The following is a 19,573-nucleotide window of genomic DNA, read 5'->3' as shown; positions in this document are numbered from 1 at the left end:
ATCCACCCACCTCGGCCTCCCGCAGTGCTGGGATTACAGGCATGAGCCACCATGCCTGGCCTGAATTGTACACCATTCTGAGTATTGTGATGAAATCTCATTCCGTCTCACCCAGGACACGAATCATTCCTTTACCTAGCGTATCCATGCTATATCCATTCACCATCTGTTAGTCACTTGGTAGCCATCTGGGTTATCAGGTCAACTGTTTTGGTATTGTTTTGCTTTTTTTTTTGAGACAGAGTCTTGCTCTGTCACCCAGGCTGGAATGCAGTGACACAATCATGGCTCACTGCAACCTCCACTCTCCAGGTTCAAGCAACTCTCCTGCCTCAGCCTCCTGAGTAGCTGGGACTACAGGCGTGCACCACCACACCCGGCTAATTTTTGTATTTTTAGTAGAGACGGGGTTTCATCATGTTGGCCAGGCCAGTCTGGAACTCTTGACCTCAAGCGATCTGCCCGCCTTGGCCTCCCAAAGTGCTGGGAATACAGGCATGAGCCACCTCGCCCAGCCTGTAGTGCTTTTATCCAAATAAGCCTTACATTGCTTAATGATGGCCCCAAAGTGCAAGAGAAGTGATGTTGTCATATTGTTATAATTGTTTTATTATTGTTAATCTCTTCCTATGTCTAATTTACACAATAAACTTTATCACAAGCATTATGTATAGGAAAAAACATAGTATATATAGGGTTTGGTGTTATCCATGGATTCAGGCATCCACTAGGGGTTTTAGAGCATCCCCCACTGTTTATTTCTGGAATTTTCCATGTAATATTTTCGAACCACAGTTGACTGTGGGCAGCTGAAACCATGGAAAACAAAACTGTGGGTGAGAAGGACTAGGGTATTTTAAACATTATATAATCACAGAAAAGTTATCCCATTAAATTTAACATTTAGTATTATCTAATATATTATGCATTCAACCTTTGCCAGATTGTTCCATTAATATCCTTTATAGCTATCTCCTCCCTAGTCATACATTATATTTAGTTATCACGTCTCTTTAGTCTCTTTTGTCTCTTTTAATCTGGAACAATTCCCTAGATTTTCTTTTGTCTTTCACGACATTGACACTTCTGCAGAGAACAGGCTAGTCCTTTAATTTGGGTTTGTGTATTTACTCATGATTAGATTCAGTTTATGCATTTCTGGTATAAATACCATGTAAACAATATGTCCTATTCATTGCGCGCATCAGTAGACTAATGATGCTGAGTCCTTTTATTGTTGTAACTTCGATCTTTTGATTAAGGTGGTATCTTCCAGGTCTCGACTGCAGTTACTTTCCTTTTGTAATTAAAAAGCAAGTTGCGGGGGGATACTTTGTGACTATGCAAGTTGTTCATCAAGCTTTCACCCAATATTTTTATCATCCATTGATAATTGCTTGAGTCAATCATTTCTACAGTGTGATTTTCCAATTCTGTCATTCCTTTTTTTTTGTCATTCCATTTTGTTTATTAATCTGCTACTCCCCATTTAGTTAGTATGGACTCAGATTTATTTTCTATTTATTTATTTATTTGTTTATTTTTTGAGACAGAATCTCGCTCTGTCACCCAGCCAGGCTGGAGTGCAGTGGTGCAATCTCGGCTCACTGAACCTCCACCTCCCAGGTTCAAGCAGTTCTGCTGCCTCAGCCTCCCAAGTAGCTGGGACTATAGGTGCGTGCCGCCACACCCGGCTAATTTTTTTTTTTTTTTTTGAGACCTTGTCTCGCCCTGTCGTCCAGGCTGGAGTGTAGTGGCGTGATCTTGGCTCACTGCAACCTCTGCCTCCTGAGTTCAAGTGAGTCTCCTGCCTCAGCCTCATGAGTAGCTGGGATTACAGGCACGTGCCACCACGCCTGGCTAATTTTTTTTGTATTTTTAGTAGAGACGGGGGGGTTTCACCATGTTGGTCAGGCTGATCTCAAACTCCTGACCTCGTAATCTGCCCTCCTCAGCCTCCCAAAGTGCTGGGATTACAGGCGTGAGCCATAGTGTCCAGTCAGATTTTTGTAGTTTTAGTAGAGACGGGGTTTTGCCATGTTGGCCAAGCTGGTCTCGAACTCCTGACCTCAAGTGATTTGCCCACTTCGGCCTCCCAGTCCCTCCCTGGAATTACAGGCATGAACCACTGTGTCATGCCTGGACTCAGATTTATTTAATAGGTTATGTTCTATTCTGTTATGTTTTAAACTTTTTAACTTTTCATTTTAAATAACTTGAAATTTACATAAAAGTTGCAGAAATAACATTTATAGCTCCTTATACCTTTCACCCAAATTACCCAATTGTTAATATTTCTGAACTATTAAAGAATAAGTTGCAGGCGTGTTGCCTCATTACAGCTTAATTCTTCAGTGTACATTTTTAAGTACCAGGACACTCCAGTATAACCATCATTAAGAAGTTAACACTGATGGTATACTACGGTCTAATCCACCAGCTCCATTCACATTTCATTGATTTGAGCCAATAATGTCCTTTATCAGTCTAGGATCACATATTGCCTCTACTTATCATTTCTCTTTAGTTTTCTTTATTCTGAAACAGTCCTTGTCTTTCATGACCTTGACACTTTGTCAAGAATACAGGCCGGGTATGGTAATACCAGTGCTTTGGGAAGCTGAGCATGAGAATCGCTTGAGCCCAGCTGTTTGAGACCAGCCTGGGCAACAGCCAGACCCTGTGTCTACCAAAAAAAAAAAAAAAAAGTGTAAGCCAGTTACTTTGTAGAATGTCCCTCAGTTTGGGTTTATCTGATGTTTTGTGATTTATACCTTTTTGACAGTAACACTATAGGGGTATTGCTGTGTCCATAACAGTGCATCATATTAGGCAGACCTCATGATGATTTTGTTGTTACTGATGTGTTTTATCACTTGGTTAAGATGGTGTCTGCCAGGTTTCTCCACATTAAAATAATAAATATAACATATGAAATATTTAAAATATTGAATATGTAATTAAAATATTAAAAAATATTTTGTGGGGAGATACCTTGATATTATAACATATTCCTGATCCCCACCATATGTTCACCCATGGATTTAGCACCCATTAATGATTATTGCCAGAATCTATTGTTGTGGTAGTTGCCGAATATCTTATGATATTTAAATATTTAAAGTTAAAATATGGTCTTTTAATTAAATTTCCTTTGTTCTGGCCGGGTGCAGTGGCTCATGCCTGTAATTCCAGCACTTTGGGAGGCTGAGGCAGGAGGATCATCTGAGGTCAGTAGTTCAGTACCAGCCTGGCCAACATGACGAAACCTCGTCTCTACTAAAAATTAAAAAACTAGCTGGACAGGATGGTGCATGCCTGTTGTCCCATCTACTTGGGAGCTGGAGGTTGCAGTGAGCCAAGATGGTGCCACTGTACTCCAGCCTAGGCGACAGTGAGACTCAGTCTCAAAAAAAAAAAAAATTCCTTTATTCTGGATTTATTATTTAGCAGTCTACTGTGGGGTAGAGCTTTCCTTTCTCCTTTATTTATTACTTATGTAGATACTCATTTGTTTCAAAATTTTAAATCAGTACAGACTCTTGGATTCCTATTGTATTCAGAGGATAACAATCAAGTTAGTTATTTATTTTGATGCTCAAATTGTCCTTTAGTTGGCCACAGTAACCCTTTCAAGCTGGTACTTGGTGTCTTTTGGACATATCCTCATTCTTATTTGATCACTTCCTCACTTTATGGTACAAGACTTTTTCTAGGATTGTCTTATATGTTTCCTGCTCTAGTCCTGGACTCAGCCATTTTTCCAAGAACCCTGGTTCCTTTTAGTAGACAGTGAGATCTGGATGCTATATGTGCTCCCAGATCTAGACCCTTGCAGTGGACAGAGCTAAGAATATATGGACATACATACATATGTACACACATATCAGTTTTAGTATTTATAAGTATTCAAAATCTTGAGTTTATAATGATTCCTCCAATTGCAGCCCAGCACCACAGGGTTTATTATAGCCTTCTCCCTTTCCATATTTGTAATTCCGTGAGGAACCTGACTTCTGTTCTTGGGGGGTTCTGGCCAACAGTGCAACTGTGGAGTGTGCCCCTCCAGTTGCACCAGCTCACAGCTATGCTTCATTCATGGGACCTCTCCCCATCTGCTGAATATCACACCTGAAAGCTCAGTTCCAATTAAGGGGAAACGAGGAGGAGGAAAGGCCTGGTGGAAAGCTTGGTTCTCTTCATGTGTCCCCCTCCCTGCTACTCCCCAGCCCCGATGTATTCCAGGAATTACTTATCTGTATTACCAGTCCCTGTGACATTTCCTAGACCAAGGAGATTATAAAAGTATAGAGAAGAATGTTTGAAAGATAAAATAAGTGGTTGACTGGATCAGATTTTACTGAGAGGTCAAACAAGGTGAGGATTTAAAATAAATTGGCAACATGGATATGTTTTGTGACCGTAATAAGTTTGCAAGTCTTCCTGTAATCAAGAACTATTAATAATAGAATTATAGAATGTGATTTGGAGATCATTTAATTACAAGGAATAGAAAACTCTTCAACTAGCTTAAACAAAAATTAGAATTTGTGGAAGGATAGAAGGGCAGCCCACTGGCATATAAAGTCCATGAAGGCAAAGGTTTCTTTAATAAACTTTCATTAAGATAAAATTCACATACCATAAAATATACCTCAGCACAGGGATTTTTTGTGTTTTGTTTAAATTAATACTGTATTCCCAGTGCTAGAATAGTATAGGACATGTAATAGCACTAAGTATTTGTTGGACAAATAAATGAATAAATAAAGAATTAAAGGGTGAGACATACGAGGAGCATCAATCACCACATGTATTAGTTTCCTAAGGCTGCCATTATAAATAACCACAAACTAGATGGATTAAAAACAACAGAAATTCATTCTCACAGTTAAACAGGCCAAAAGTCCAAAACCAAGCTGTCAACAGGGCCACATACATTCTCTTTAACGGAAGATCCGTCCTTGCCTGTTCCGTTTCTGATAACTCCCGGCTTTCCTTGGCCTCAGGCACCATACCCCCAACCTCTGCCTCTGTCTTCATGTGACCTTTGCTGTGTTTCTGTTCTCTCCTCCTCTTAGGAGGACACCAGTTATTGGATTTAGGGCTCACCCTAATCAAGTGTGATCTCAACTCTTAACTAAGGAAATCTGCAAAGAGCCTATTTTTAAATAAAGTCACATTCCGAGGTTTCAGGTGGATGTGAATTTGGGGGGAACACTGTTCAACTACACCATTATTCTCACTACCTTTCCCTGGTCTTATGGTCTCTCACTTGCTTCTTTCTGTAGATTTGCGTAATTCTCAGTGTGGACACACTCGTGTTATCCACAAGTGAACGATCCTAGCTCTGACTTATATCAACCCTACTTCTGGTGTTCAGTCAAGAATCTGATCTGTCTTAGGTCATTTTTTTTCTTGTCTAGTTAGTTGGTAAGACTGATTGGGACTGATAGGAGAGTTCATAAGAATAACGTGCTACATGAATGGGGTTGGGGATGAGTGGTGTTTCTTTTACAAACCCAGACAGAATCTCTGTTCTACACCCATATTACTACAGGATAATGAACAAATGGAAATAATATGTGTGCGTGCCACCACACAGGTCCTGATTTTGTTTTGTTTTGTTTTGTTTTTAAGTAGAGACAGGGACTCATTATGTTGCCTAGGCTGGTCTCAAACTCCTGAGCTCAAGCAGTCTGTCCACCTTGGCTTCCCAAAGTGCTGGCATTACAGGTGTGAGCCACTACACCCAGCCAGAATTCTTAAATCTTGAGTTTTTCATTGTCACTGAAAATTATCAAAAGAGTTGGCTACAGCTTGGCCATCCTTTTTATATTAATATGGTTGGAGTCAGAGTTTTATAACCTGTATAGACCTTCGAATCATCCAGTACAACTAGCTCCTGGTTATGGATGGGAAAACTGAGAACTAGAAAGGCATGATTCTCATACTATAGCATGCATCAAAATCACTTGAAAGACTTGATTCTTGGGCCCCACTGCCAGTTTCTGATTGAGTGGGTCTGGAATGAGACCAAGGAATTTGTCTGCATGCCTCCTCTTCTTCTTTCTTCTTTCTTCCTCCTCTTCCTTCTCCTTCTCCTCCTCTTCCTCCTTCTCTCTCTGTCTCCTCCTTCTCCTCCTCCTCCACCTTCTCTTCCCCCTCCTTCTCTTCCTTCTTTCTCCTTCTCCTCCTTCTCCTTCTCTTCCTTCTTTCTCCTTCTCCTCCTCCTCCTCCTTCTCTTCCGTCTTTCTCCTCCTCCTCCTCCCCCTGACTTCGACAGGGTTCTCCTCCGCCGCCGCCTCTGCCTCTTCCATCTCCTCTGCCGCCGCTGCCTCCCCCTCCCCCTCTTCCTTCTCCTTTTCCTCCTCCTCCTCCTTGCTTCGACAGGGTCTCTCACTCTGTTGCCCAGGCTGGAGTGCAGTGGCGTGAACACAGCTCACTGCAGCCTTGACCTCCTGGGTTCAGCCTCCCAAGTGACTGGAAGTACAGCTGCATGCCACCATGCCTGGCTATTTTTTAAAGTTTTTGTAGAGATGAGGGTCTCAGTATGTTGCCCAGGTTAGTCTAACTCCTGGGCTCAAACTGTCTTCCCATCTGGGCCTCCCAAAGTGCTGGGATTACAGGCATGAGCCAGTGTGCCTGGCCAGAATTTGCATTTCTAACAAGTTCTCATTGGATACTGATAGTACAGGTCTGGGGATCACACTTCTGAGAACCACCAGACTGACGGAACTGTCTGTGACCACACTTTTAGATAGTGGCTGAGTGGGGACTAGAACCCAAGATTCCTATTTCTTTTTCTCATATAAGGGTTCTTAGTATTTCTCCTTCCTTCCTTCCTTCCTTCCTTCCTTCCTTCCTTCCTTCCTTTTCTTTCTTTCTTTCCTTCCTTCCTTTCTTCTTTTCTTTTCTTTTCTTTTTTCTTTTCTTTTTCTTTCCTTTCCTTTTCTTTTCTTTTCTTTTTTTGAGACAGTTTTGCTCTTGTTGCCCAGGCTAGAGTGCAGTGGCGTGATCTCGGCTCACTGCAACCTCTGCCTCCTGGGTTCAAGCGATTCTCTGCCTCAGTCTTCTGAGTAGCTGGGATTACAGGTGCCCGCCACTGTGCCCGGCTAATTTTTGTATTTTTAGTAGAAACAGGGTTTCACCGTGTTGGCCAGGTTGGTCTTGAACTCCTGACCTCAGGTGATCCGCCCACCTCGGCCTCCCAAAGTGCTGGGATTACAGGCATGAGCCACCATGCCCTGCCTGGTTCTTAGTATTTCTTATGTAGAATGGAGGTTGGAGCCAGGCATGGTGGCTCACACCTGTAATCCTATCACTTCGGGAAGCTGAGGTGGGAGGATGGCTTGAGCCTAGGAGTTTGAGATCAGTCTGGGCAACATGGCAAAACCCTGTGTATTAGTTCTCTTGCTGCTATAAATAATTACCGAAACTGGGTAATTTATAAAGAAAAGAGGTTTAATTCACTCACAGTTCTGCATGGCTGGGGAGGCCTCAGGAAAGGTGGAAGGCACCTCTTCACAGGGTGGCAGGAGAGAGAAATGAGAGCTGAGCGAAGGGGGAGGCCCCTTATAAAACTGTCAGATCAAATGAGAACTCACTGTCATAAGAACAGCATGGGGGAAACCACCCCTGTGATTCAATTATCTCTACCTGGTCCCACCCTTGACACATGGGTATTGTGGGATCTGGCCAGCAGCCCGCAATGCAATGGGGCTCTCTCTTTGTTCCCAGGCGGATCGGCAGGTTGAGAAATAATAGACACACACAAGATAGTGAAAGCTGGGTCCAGGGGGGTCACTGTCTTCTGGTCCCGCGGTGCCAACAATGCACTGGATATACCAGCATTTATTACTAAGTTTAGTGAGGGCGGGGGTAGGTTAGTGAGGGATTTAGGGTCATTTGATTATGAGGTGAGATGGTCACATGGGGATGAAATAATTCTTTAACATAACATTTGTATGTAGAAGTATAGTACATTTGTATGTAGAAGTACAGTATACAGAGATAAGAATTTACAATATAGTGTGTGCATCAGTAATTTCTAATAGAGCCTTAAAACAGAAACACAGTCTTTCCATAACCTATGATTAGCAAGATATTAATCAGCAGTAACAGTTGTAGCAAAAGCTGGTTACAAACAATCCATAGAAACAGGATGTGAAGCTAGACAACTGGTTAGACCAGAAATTCTCAGAAGGGGAGTATGTCTTAACCCTAAAGAGGCCTAGAAGAACCGTGGCAAGATGAGGGCATTTATAGCCCTATCTTATCCATGTGGACAGGCGCCCCCAATGCGTCCGTTTATAGGCTCTCCACAAGGGTCGCATTCTGTTCCCAGAGCTATGAACATCTGCTTTTCTGGGATAGGAATCTTGGTGATGTGAATCCTCCGTGATTGCACATCCATTCATAGGCTCTTTGCAGGGGGAAGCACATCACACGCTGTTGGCTCGTTCTGGCAGTCCAACCTGGCATTGTCTTTACACAATCCTGCATGCAATTTTGTATTTACAATAATCAGGAGCATTTCATCTTTTATTCCGTAGCAATAGTTTCAGGGGGTCTCCCTACACATGGGGATTATTACAATTCAAGGTAAGATTTTGGCAGGGACACAGCCAAACCGTATCATCCACCTTCTACAAAGAATACAAAAAATTGGCCAGCCATGGTAGAGTGTGCCTGTAATCCCAGCTACTTAGGAGGCTGAGGTGGGAGGATCGCCTGAGCCTGGGAGGTCGAGGCTGCAGTGAGCTGAGATGATGCCACTGCACTTCCAGCTTGCGCAACAGTGAGACCCTATCTCAAAAAAAAAAAAAAGAGGTTGGCAAACAAGGGCCCATGGTTCAATTCTGGCCTGCCACTTACTTATTATTACAGTGTTAGTATATACATTCTAATACATACATATTAGTGTTAGTATTGTCACATATGTTCAAAGATCCCGCCCCCCCCCAGGGATGTCTGAAATCACAGAGAGTACCAAACCCTATGATACTATGTTTTTTCCTATGCATGCATACCTGTGATAAAGTTTAATTTATAAATTAGGCAAAGAGGTGAACAACAGCAATAGAATAATTATAACAACATACTGTAATAAAAGTTATGTGAATGTGATCTCTCTCTCAAAATATATTCTTGTTCTGTACTCACCTATTTTTTGATGGTGGTAACTGAATCCACAGAAAGCAAAACTGTGGTTGATGGGGAACTACTGTACTTATAGAGATATAATTCACATACCAAAAACTTCACTCTTTTAAAGTATACAGTTCAGTAGTTAGTTTATTTACAGAGTTGTTCAACTATTACCACTGTCTTAATTCCAGAATATGTTCAACATCCCCAAAAGAAACCCAACATTCATCTGCAGACTACTTATTCCCCTCCCTGGCAACCACTATCTTTTTCTGTTTCTGTGGATTTGCTTATTCTGCGTAGAAATGGAATCAGATAATATTTGGTCTTTTGCATCTGGCTTCTTTCATTTTATAACATAATGTTTTTCAGGCTCATCTATTTTGTAACATGTACCAGTACTGCTTTCTTTCATTGCCAAGTAAATAATTAGCTGAGCATGGTGTCATGCACCTGTAGTCTCAGCTACTTGGGAGGCTGAGTCAGGAGGATCCTTTCAGGCCAGGAGTTCAAGTCTAGCCTGGGCAATATAGTGAGACTCTGTCTCTTAAGAAAATTCACATAAAAATAATTCATTCATCAATTAATGAACATTTGGATTGTTTCTACTTTTTTACTCTAATGAGTAATACTACTCTGCACGTTTGTGTACAAGACTTTGTATGGACATATGTTTTTAGTTCTCTGGTGTATATACTTGGGAGTCAAATTGCTAAGTCAATGGTAGCTCTATGTTTAACCCTTGAAGAACTCCAGGACAGTTTTCATAGTAGCTGCACTTTTTTACACTTCTGCCAAGATAAATGGCCAGCAGTGTGTGAGTGCTCTGATTTCTCGCCATCCTCGTTAACACTTGTTATTGTCTTTTTGATTATAGCCATCCATTTCTATGTGAAGTGGTGTCGCATTGTGATTTTGATTTGCATTTCCTAATGGTTAATGTTGAGCATCATCTCATGTCCTTGAAAAAAGTAAAATAGAGGTCCCTCTTTAAAGATTTTCCTCTCCATCTAATTAGGAATAAATAGTAACTTCTCTTAAAAGCAAAATTTATTCGAAGACAGGTGCTAACATTCTTAAATATCTGCTAGCCGTAATAAAGAAATCAATGTACTTTATGTTCTTAGCTCCCTCAATTTAGCCTAAATATTTGCCCTGGCATGCTTATACTGGTCCAAGCAAGCATTAGGTCATAGCCTGTTCCTCTTCCTTATTTAAAAGTGTTTTTATCTTTCTCAGCATTCCACAAGTTAACTTCCTCCTTCCTTTGTTCTCCTCTACCTTTGCCTCTTTTAAAAAGTTCTAAGTTGCTAGCCAGTCGGGACAAATAACAGAATGTGAGGTCCCGTTCCAGCCAATGGAAACCAGACACAGCAGTAGGGTGGACTTGTCAGATTATAAATGACTCTGTCTCCTTTGTTCGGTGTACTCTCGTGACACAGCTACTGGCAAGTGTACCCTTTCTGCAGAAAGTAAAAATGGCCTTACTAAATAAATTAAATTTATGTTCAAGTGCTGTTTCTTTACGGCACCGGAGAACAAGCATTTCAAACATCCTTATTGGCCATTTGCATATTTTCTTTGGAGAAATATCTGTTCAGATCCTTTGCCGTTTTAAAAATTGGGTTGCCTTTTTGTTGTTGATTTATAAGAATTGTTTATATTGTCTGGACACTAGACTCCTATCAGATACATTATTTGTAAATATTGTCTCCCATTGCGTGGGGTGTCTTTGCACCCTTTTGGTAGTATGTTTTGCAGCACAACAGTTTTTCATCCTGATGATTTTTATGTTTGTTTGTTTGTTTCAGACAGAGTATTGCCCTGTAGCCCAGGCTGGAATATAGTGGCGTGATCTCGGCTCAGTGTAGTCTCTGCCTCCCCTGGGTTCCAGCGATTCTTCTGCCTCGGCTTCCCGGGTAGCTGGGATTACAGGCATGCCCTGCCATGCCCTGCCCAGTTTTCAAGTCCTTCACTTATTTTGTTAAATTATTCCTCCAAGTATTTTATTCTTTGTATACTATGACGAATGGAATTGTTGACTTTATTACATTTTTATATTGTTCATTGCTAGTGTATAGAAATATACCTTTTTGATAAGTTTTTTATATCCTGGGATCTTGCTGACCTCAATAGCTCTTAGGATGTTTTTGTAGATTTCATAGGATTTTCTGTATATAAGATCATAAGATACTCAGCTCACAAGATCATGAGAGGGAATTTTACTGATTCCTTTCCTATCTGGATGCCATTTATCTTGCCAGTTTCCCTGGCTACAATCTCTGGTAAAATGGTGTATTGTATTTATTAAATTTTTATGTTGAACCATCCTTGCATTCTAGGGAAGATCTCTCCTGGTCATGGTGTATAATCCTAATTATATGTCGATAGATTTGGTTTGGTAGTTTTTAGGATTTTGTATTTATATTCCTATGGGATAGTCTGTGATTTTCATTTTGAGACAGGGTCTCGCTCTGTCACCCAGGCTAGAGTGCAGTGGAGTGAACACAGCTCACTGCAGCCTCAACCTTCCAGGCTCAAACCATACTCCCAAGTATCTGGGACCACAGGTGCACACCACCATGCCTGGCTAATTTTCTTATTTTTTGTGGAGATGGGGTCTTACTATGCTGCACAGGCTGGTCTTGAACTCCTGGGCTCAAGCAATCCCCCCACTTTGGGCTCTTAAAGTGTTGGATTACGAGTGTGAGCCATCACACCTGGCTGTCTTTTTTTTTTTTTTTTTTTTTTTGGTACCCTTTGGTTTTGATGTCAGAGTAATAATGGCCTTCTAAATGAGTAACTGTTCCTTTTTTTGGGCGGGGGGGATGAGGAGAAGGATTCTTTTTTTTTTTTTTTTTTTTTTTTTAATTTTTTTAGTATTTATTGATCATTCTTGGGTGTTTCTCGGAGAGGGGGATTTGGCAGGGTCATAGGACAATAGTGGAGGGAAGGTCAGCAGATAAACATGTGAACAAAGGTCTCTGGTTTTCCTAGGCAGAGGGCCCTGCCGCCTTCCTCAGTGTACAGTCCCTGGGTACTTGAGATTAGGGAGTGGTGATGACTCTTAACGAGTATGCTGCCTTCAAGCATCTGTTTAACAAAGCACATCTTGCACCGCCCTTAATCCATTTAACCCTTAGTGGACACAGCACATGTTTCAGAGAGCACGGGGTTGGGGGTAAGGTTATAGATTAACAGCATCCCAAGGTGGAAGAATTTTTCTTAATACAGAACAAAATGGAGTCTCCTATGTCTACTTCTTTCTACACAGACAGTAACAATCTGATCTCTCTTTTCCCCACATTTCCCCGTTTTCTATTCGACAAAACCGCCATCGTCATCATGGCCCGTTCTCAATGAGCTGTTGGGTACACCTCCCAGACAGGGTGGAGGCCGGGCAGAGGGGCTCCTCACTTCCCAGACGGGGCGGCTGGGCAGAGGCGCCCCCCCCACCTCGCGGACGGGGCGGCTGGCCGGCCGGGGGCTGCCCCCCCCCCACCTCGCGGACGGGGCGGCTGGCCGGGGTGGGGGCTGCCCCCCCACCTAACTGACGGGGCGGCTGGCCGGGCGGAGGGGCTCCTCACTTGTCAGACAGGGCGGCTGGTCAGAGATGCTCCTCACCTCCCGGACGGGGTGACGGCGGGGCAGAGACACTCCTCAGTTCCCAGACGGGGTCGCGGCCAGGCAGAGGCGCTCCTCACATCCCAGACGGGGCGGCAGGGCAGAGGCGCTCCCCACATCCCAGACGATGGGCGGCCGGGCAGAGACGCTCCTCACTTCCTAGACGGGATGACGGCCGGGAAGAGGTGCTCCTCACTTCCCAGACTGGGCAGAGGGGCTCCTCACATCCCAGACGATGGGCGGCGGGGCAGAGACACTTCTCACTTCCTAGATGGGGTGGCGGCCGTGCAGAGGCTGCAATCTCGGCACTTTGGGAGGCCAAGGCAGGCAGCTGGGAGGTGGAGGTTATAGTGAGCCGAGATCACGCCACTGCACTCCAGCCTGGGCAACATTGAGCACTGAGTGAGCGAGACTCCGTCTGCAATCCCGGCACCTCGGGATGCCGAGGCTGGCAGATCACTCGCGGTCAGGAGCTGGAGACCAGCCCGGCCAACACGGCGAAACCCTGTCTCAACCAAAAAATACAAAAACCAGTCAGGCGTGGCAGTGCGCGCCTTCGGCAGGCTGAGGCAGGAGAATCAGGCAGGGAGGTTGCAGTGAGCCGAGATGGCGGCAGTACAGTCCAGCCTCGTCTCGGCATCAGAGGGAGACTGTGCAAAGAGGGAGAGGGAGAGGGAGAGGAAGAGGAGGGAGAGGAGGGAGAGGGAGAGGGAGAGGAGGATTCTTTAAACATTGGATTGGTAGACTTCACCTTGAAGCCATGTGGTACTGGGCTTTTCTCTGTGAGACTTTGGATTACTGATTCAATTCCTTGTTACAGGCCTGTATAGATTTTGTTTCTTGAATCCGTTTTTGGTAGTTTGTGTCATTCTAGGAATTTGTCTATTTAGTCTAGGTTATCTAATTTATTACCATGTAATTGTTCATACTGTTCTCTTATAATCTTTTCTATGTGTCAAGTTAGTAGTAGTCTGTTCTTTGTTTCCTGATTGTAATAATTTGAGTCTTCTCTGTTTTTTTTCTTTGGTTGATCTAGCTAAAGGTTTGCCATTTTTGTTGATCTTTTCAAAGAACCAACTTTTGCTTTAGTTGATAGTCTCTCTCTTTTTTTTTGAGATGGACTCTCGTTCTTTCTCCCAGGCTGGAGTGCAGTGGCTCAATCTCAACTCACTGCTACCTCCGCCTCCCAGGTTCAAGCAATTCTCTTGTCTCAGCCTCCTGAGTAGCTGGGACTACAGGCACGTGCCACCACACCCAGCTAGTTTTTGTATTTTGGGTAGAGATGGGGTTTCACCATGTTAGCCAGGCTGGTCTCTAACTCCTGACATCAAGCGATCCACCCGCCTCAGCTTCCCAAAGTGCTGGGAATACAGGCGTGAGCCACCGCGCCGGCCTCTGTTGCATTTATTTCCACTCTAGTTTTTATTATTTTCTTCTTTCTGTTTACTGTGGATAAAGTTTTTTGGTTTTGGTTTTTTTTCAGGTAAAAGATTAGGTTGTTAATTTGAGGTCTTTATTTTATATATATATATATATATATATTTATTTATTTTTTTTTTCTTTGGTCTCCCAGGCTGGAGTGCAGTGGCGTGATCTCAACTCACTGCAACCTCTGCTTCCGAGGTTCAAGTGATTCCTCTGCCTCAGCCTCCCAAGTAGCTGGGATTACAGGCATTCACTGCCACACCGGGCTAGTTTTTGTATTTTTAGTAGAAACAGGGTTTCACCACATTGGCCAGGCTAGTCTTGAACTCCTGACCTCAGGTGATCTGCCCACCTCAGCATCCCAAAGTGCTGGGATTACAGGCGTGAGCCACCGTGCCCGGCCTGAGATCTTTATTTTTAAACACAGATGTCTACAGCTATACATTTCCATTTGAGCATTGCCTTTGCTGCATCCTATGCATTTTCGCTGCTGCGTGTTTTTACTTTTTCTAAATGGTTAGGAAAAAACTTAAGACTTAGTGACACATGAAAAGTATATGAAACTCAGATTTTATTGTACATAAATAAGGTTTTGTTGGAACAGAACCACATCCTTTTGTTTACATGTTGTCTATAGTTAATTTTCATCCTAGAGTGGCTGAGTTGAGTAGTTGCAACAGAGACCTTCTGGCTGGTAAAGCCTAAAATGTTGACTCTTTTGGTCCTTTGCAGAAAACAATTATTGACCCCTGTTGTTTAATATTTCTTGATATACAGATGTTTTACATCATGATAAATTCATCATAAAATCAAAAAATCATAAATTTAGCCATTATAAGTTGGGAACTGTTTGTATATTCATACTATGAAAAATTGAGCTTTTCATTGTTATTTTTAGCTTGCATGAGAGTTAGAGCTGTATTTGCTTAGAGTAATATTCCTAAGATGATAATATTCATCATTTGATTTTTCTGTGGGTTCTTATGGGCTACCTGTTAACATTCAAATATAGAGCACAGCAGTCATTTCTTCACCATGTGGTCTTAACCTACTTTATCTGAGGTGTCTTCAATTTCTGTCTCTGATTTTTAAGTATTCTTCTAGACTAATTTAACAGTATATGTGCAAAGGCCTAATTTTTTAAAAGATTTTTGTGACATTAATGTTTTAAAGAATTTTTTCTAAGGAAAAAATGATGTCTGCGAACATTCATTTTATAAGACTGTACAATGAGACCGGGTGCGGTGGCTCATGTCTGTGATCCCAGCACTTTGGGAAGCCGAGGCGGGCGGATCACGAGGTCAGGAGATCGAGACCATCCTGGCTAACATGGGGAAACCCCGTCTCTACTAAAAATACAAAAAATTAGCCAGGCGTAGTGGCGGGTACCTGTAGTCCCAGCTACTTGGGAGGCTGAGGCGGGAGAATGGCGTGAACCTGGGAGGCGGGGCTTGCAGTGAGCCGAGATCGCGCCACTGCACTCTAGCCTGGGCAAGAGAGCGAGACTCCGTCTCAGAAAAAGAAAGAAAGACTGTACCATGAGAAATCTGTGTGAAAAAAATTGAAATGCCAAAATGTTTACAAAGAAGAATATTTGATAAGTTAGAATTCCAGCAATTTAAGTGGAAAAAGTGTATCCTGGGCAGGTGCAATGGCTCACACCTTTAATTCAAACACTTTGGAAAGCCAAGGCAGGAGGATCACTTGAGGCCAGGAGTTTGATACCAGCCTGGGCAACATAGTGAGATCCTGTCTCTACCAAAAAAAAAGTACATTCTAAAACTGTAGATACAATATAGTCTCATAACAAATAGGAGCTAAGCTGTTAATGATTGTTTCTTTTTTTAAAAAAAGGATTAGTTCTTGATCGCACCAGTCCAAATGCTTTTCATTTTCTACTTTTGTCTTTTCTCCCCTAATTGTAATAAGGAATAAAACATACTATGGTGCGTATGTATGTGCGTGTGCGTTGTGGGGAAAACCTGTCCTCTGTCTTACTGCTCCTGCTGTATAAATTCTTTTTGATTTTCATAGCTGAAACTAATCTTTTCCTTCTCTTCCACATTTTGACATTCTTTGTAACTTGTTTGTAGGGCTTAACTTTTGATCTGTGTGGTGGTATGTTTATATCTTGTTTCTCCTACGGGACTGCAGTTTCGTTGAGGATACAGTCTGTATCTCAATCTTTATCTTTCATGCATGTAGAATGTTTGTTTTTTAAATTTCTCTCCTCAGATGCGGTGGCTCATGCCTGTAATCTCAGCACTTTGGGAGGTGGAGGCGGGCGGATCACCTGAGGTCAGGAGTTCAGGACCAGCCTGGCCAACATGGCGAAACCCCATCTCTACTAAAAATACAAAAATTAGCCAGGTGTGGTGGCACATGCCTGTAATCGCAGCTACTTGGGAGGCTGAGGCAGGAGAATCACTTGAACCTGGGAGGCGGAGATTGCAGTGAGCCAAGATCGCACCATTGCACTCCAGCCTGGGCAACAAGAGCAGAAGAGCAGAACTCTGTCTCAAAAAAAAAAAAAACGAAAAGAAAGGCTGGGCGCAGTGGTGCACGCCTGTAATCCCAGCACTTTGGGAGGCCAAGGTGGGCAGATCACGAGGTCAGGAGTTTGAGACCAGCCTGACCAGCATGGTGAAACCCTGTCATGGTGGCGCGCTTGTAATCCCAGCTACTCGGGAGGCTGAGGTAGGAGAATCGCTTAAACCCGGGATGCGAAGGTTGCAGTGAAGAGATTACAGGCTGCACTCCATCCTGGGTGACCGAGCAAGACTGTGTTTCAGAATAAAATAATCTTCCAGTTGTTTTTTTTTTCTTCAACATGTCTTCTGTTATTTAAAAAAGACATTTTCTTGAGCTCTTTCATTGGACGAGAGCTGCTGGCCAAAAACTGTGTATATAGTAGGGAAAACAAGGGTCTATGTGGTTAAGACATAAACACAGTTAAGAGAAGTAGCACAAAATATAAATAAATAATATTAATAATTATTGAATTACAATTTTGAGCACAAATAGGGGCAGAGCCACAAATAGTCAAAATTTACTGTGAAATATTGTTGCATTGTCTGTATATTTGGGGTGAATAATTGAGAGGCAACTCTTCAACAGCCTGTTACTCCAGACAGGGGTAGAAACTAGTGAGTACAGCAAAAGGCCTTTGAACTATAAAGTCCATACCTTAAAGCTGTTGTACTTTTCTGTGTGAACTCCAGCATTTTTATTCTTTGGCAAATGTCTAATACATACAAAAGATTGTAAGTACTCAAAAAGCCAGTGGTATAGAGTTCTTTGGTATGGAGAAAATAGCCAATGTTTTATTGTATTAATAACAATTCTAAAATTCATGTTAAATTTAAATTTTTGGCCAGGCACAGTGGCTTACGCCTGTAATCCCAACACTTTGGGAGGCCAAGGCAGGCGGATCACTTGAGGTCAGGAGTTTGAGACCAGTCTGGCCAACATGGTGAAACCTTGTCTCTACTAAAAATAAAAAAATTAGTTGGGTATGGTGGCACAGGCCTGTAGTCCCAGCTACTCGAGAGGCTGAGGCAGGAGAATCACTTTTACTCAGGAGGCGGAGGTTGCAGTGAACCGAGATCACCCCACTGCACTCCAGCCTGGGCAACAGAGAGAGGCTCCATCTCAAGAAACGTAATAAATAAATAAATATATTTACATTTTTTATTCTGTTTCTATAGTCACCATCAATTTACATATTTCTCAATATACTTCGTAAGTGTAAACATAAAGGAATACGGCTGTCATCTGCCTTGGCCAGCCATGATATAGGTCAAGCTTTTATTATATGTAGTAATGTTTTGAGGAACATAATTGAAGCTTTATTTTATTTTGGACTCTAATAAATAGGTGGAAGATTGTTATTACTATTTTTTGAGACAGAGTCTTGCTTTGTTGCCCAGGCTGGAGTGCAGTGGCATAGTACGCTCGTGGCTCAGTACAACTCCCACCTCAGTCTCCCGAGTAGCTTGGACTACAGGTACGTGCCACCACACTTGGCTACTTTTTGTAGAGACAGGGTTTTGCCATTGTTGCCCAGGCTGGTCTTGAACTCCTAAGGTCAAGTGATCCACCCACCTCAGCCTCCCAAAGTGGTGGGATTACAGGTGTGAGCCACCACGCCCAGCCTGAAGATTATTTTATAAGTGTGATTTTTTTTAAGTGGCTGTGTAGTCCCAAAACTATAATTAGCTGAAATAATACTGTAATGTTTAAAACTTATTTAGTTATCCCTGAGGTCATCAGCACAAATCCTGAAATAGAAAATATAGTAACGATATACTTAGAAATTGAAATAGAAATAGAAAAAGCTTACAGAAAATCAGCATTGGCAATAACCATGGAAAACATTTTATAATGTGGTTATACTGTTATCTTTTGCAGAGATAACAGACAGGTTTAAATTTTATTTATTTATTTATTTATTTATTTCAGGGGGAAACGAGGTCTCAGTCTGTTGCCCAGGCTGGAGTGCAGTGGTGTGATCTCCGTTTACCGCACCCTCCGCCTCCCAGGCTCAATTGATCCTCCCACCTCAGTCTCCTGAGTAACTGAGACTGCAGGAGCGCTCCCAGCTAATTTTGTATTCTCAGTAGATATGGGGGATTCGCCACATTGCCCAGGCTGGTCTCAATCTCCTGGACTCAAATGATCCGCCCAACTCAGCCTCCCAAACTGCTGGGGTCAAAGGCTTGAGCCACTGCACCCAGTCTAGTTTTTTATCTTATATGCTGCTTGGATACCTTTGCTGGTCAAGGCTCTGTGACAAAGAGTGCCTTAATTGCTTGGTAATGTCTACTCTGGGCCCACGATCTAGGAATGGTAGCCCATATGCCAGGTATTTATTATTGCTGCAAAATATTGCTTATTATACACATTAAAATCTATTTGCAAAGCTAACTATGCACGTTAAGTTTATTCCTAATTCTACTGAAATTATCAGACAGAAAACTGGACGGGCGTGATGGCTTAGGTCTGTAATCCCAGCACTTTTGGAGGCTGATGTAGGTGGATCACTTGAGGTCAGGAGTTCAAGACCAGCCTCGCCAACATGGTGAATCCCCATCTCTGTTGAAAATACAAGAAAAATTAGCCAGCCTTGGTGGTGGGCACCTGTATCCCAACTACTCAGGAGGCTAAGGCACGAGAATTGCTTGGACTCAGGAGTCGGAGGTTGCAGTGAGCCATCCCTGCACTCCAGCCTGGACGACAGAGCAAAACTGTCTCACAAAAAAAGAAGAAAACTTAGTGGCTGTTAACACTGAAAATACGTACATTGAAATAGTGTATCAAATTCAAGTGAATAGCTTGTAATAAAGTGTTAAACATAAAAAGCAAAAAAAAAGGG

General features: G+C 42.6%; 2 protein-coding genes across 13 annotated transcripts in view, besides 2 other annotated features; both read left to right on the top strand.

Moving 5' to 3' along the window:
- LYPLA1-TCEA1 (LYPLA1-TCEA1 readthrough) overlaps window positions 1-19,573 on the top strand; it is a 135,392-nt gene that overhangs the window by 3,490 nt on the left and 112,329 nt on the right. The window lies entirely within an intron of this gene.
- Window positions 1-19,573, top strand: part of LYPLA1 (lysophospholipase 1) — a 58,961-nt gene that overhangs the window by 3,490 nt on the left and 35,898 nt on the right. The window lies entirely within an intron of this gene.
- Window positions 8,102-8,301: an enhancer, noted in NCBI's record as "active region_27371". NCBI's record gives its function as "activates an Ori minimal core promoter by ATAC-STARR-seq in GM12878 lymphoblastoid cells {active_cell/tissue: GM12878}" and the evidence as "EXISTENCE:reporter gene assay evidence [ECO:0000049][PMID:35858748]".
- Window positions 12,902-13,849: an enhancer, noted in NCBI's record as "H3K27ac hESC enhancer chr8:54997169-54998116 (GRCh37/hg19 assembly coordinates)". NCBI's record gives its function as "activates a minimal SCP1, AML or CMV promoter by ChIP-STARR-seq in naive and primed H9 embryonic stem cells {active_cell/tissue: H9 hESC(naive and primed)}" and the evidence as "EXISTENCE:reporter gene assay evidence [ECO:0000049][PMID:30033119]".

This window comes from Homo sapiens, chromosome 8 (assembly GCF_000001405.40).
Source record: "Homo sapiens chromosome 8, GRCh38.p14 Primary Assembly".
Classification (NCBI taxonomy): Eukaryota; Metazoa; Chordata; class Mammalia; order Primates; family Hominidae; genus Homo; species Homo sapiens.
Note: the sequence above shows the minus strand (reverse complement) of the source record. Positions and strands in the feature narration are given on the sequence as shown.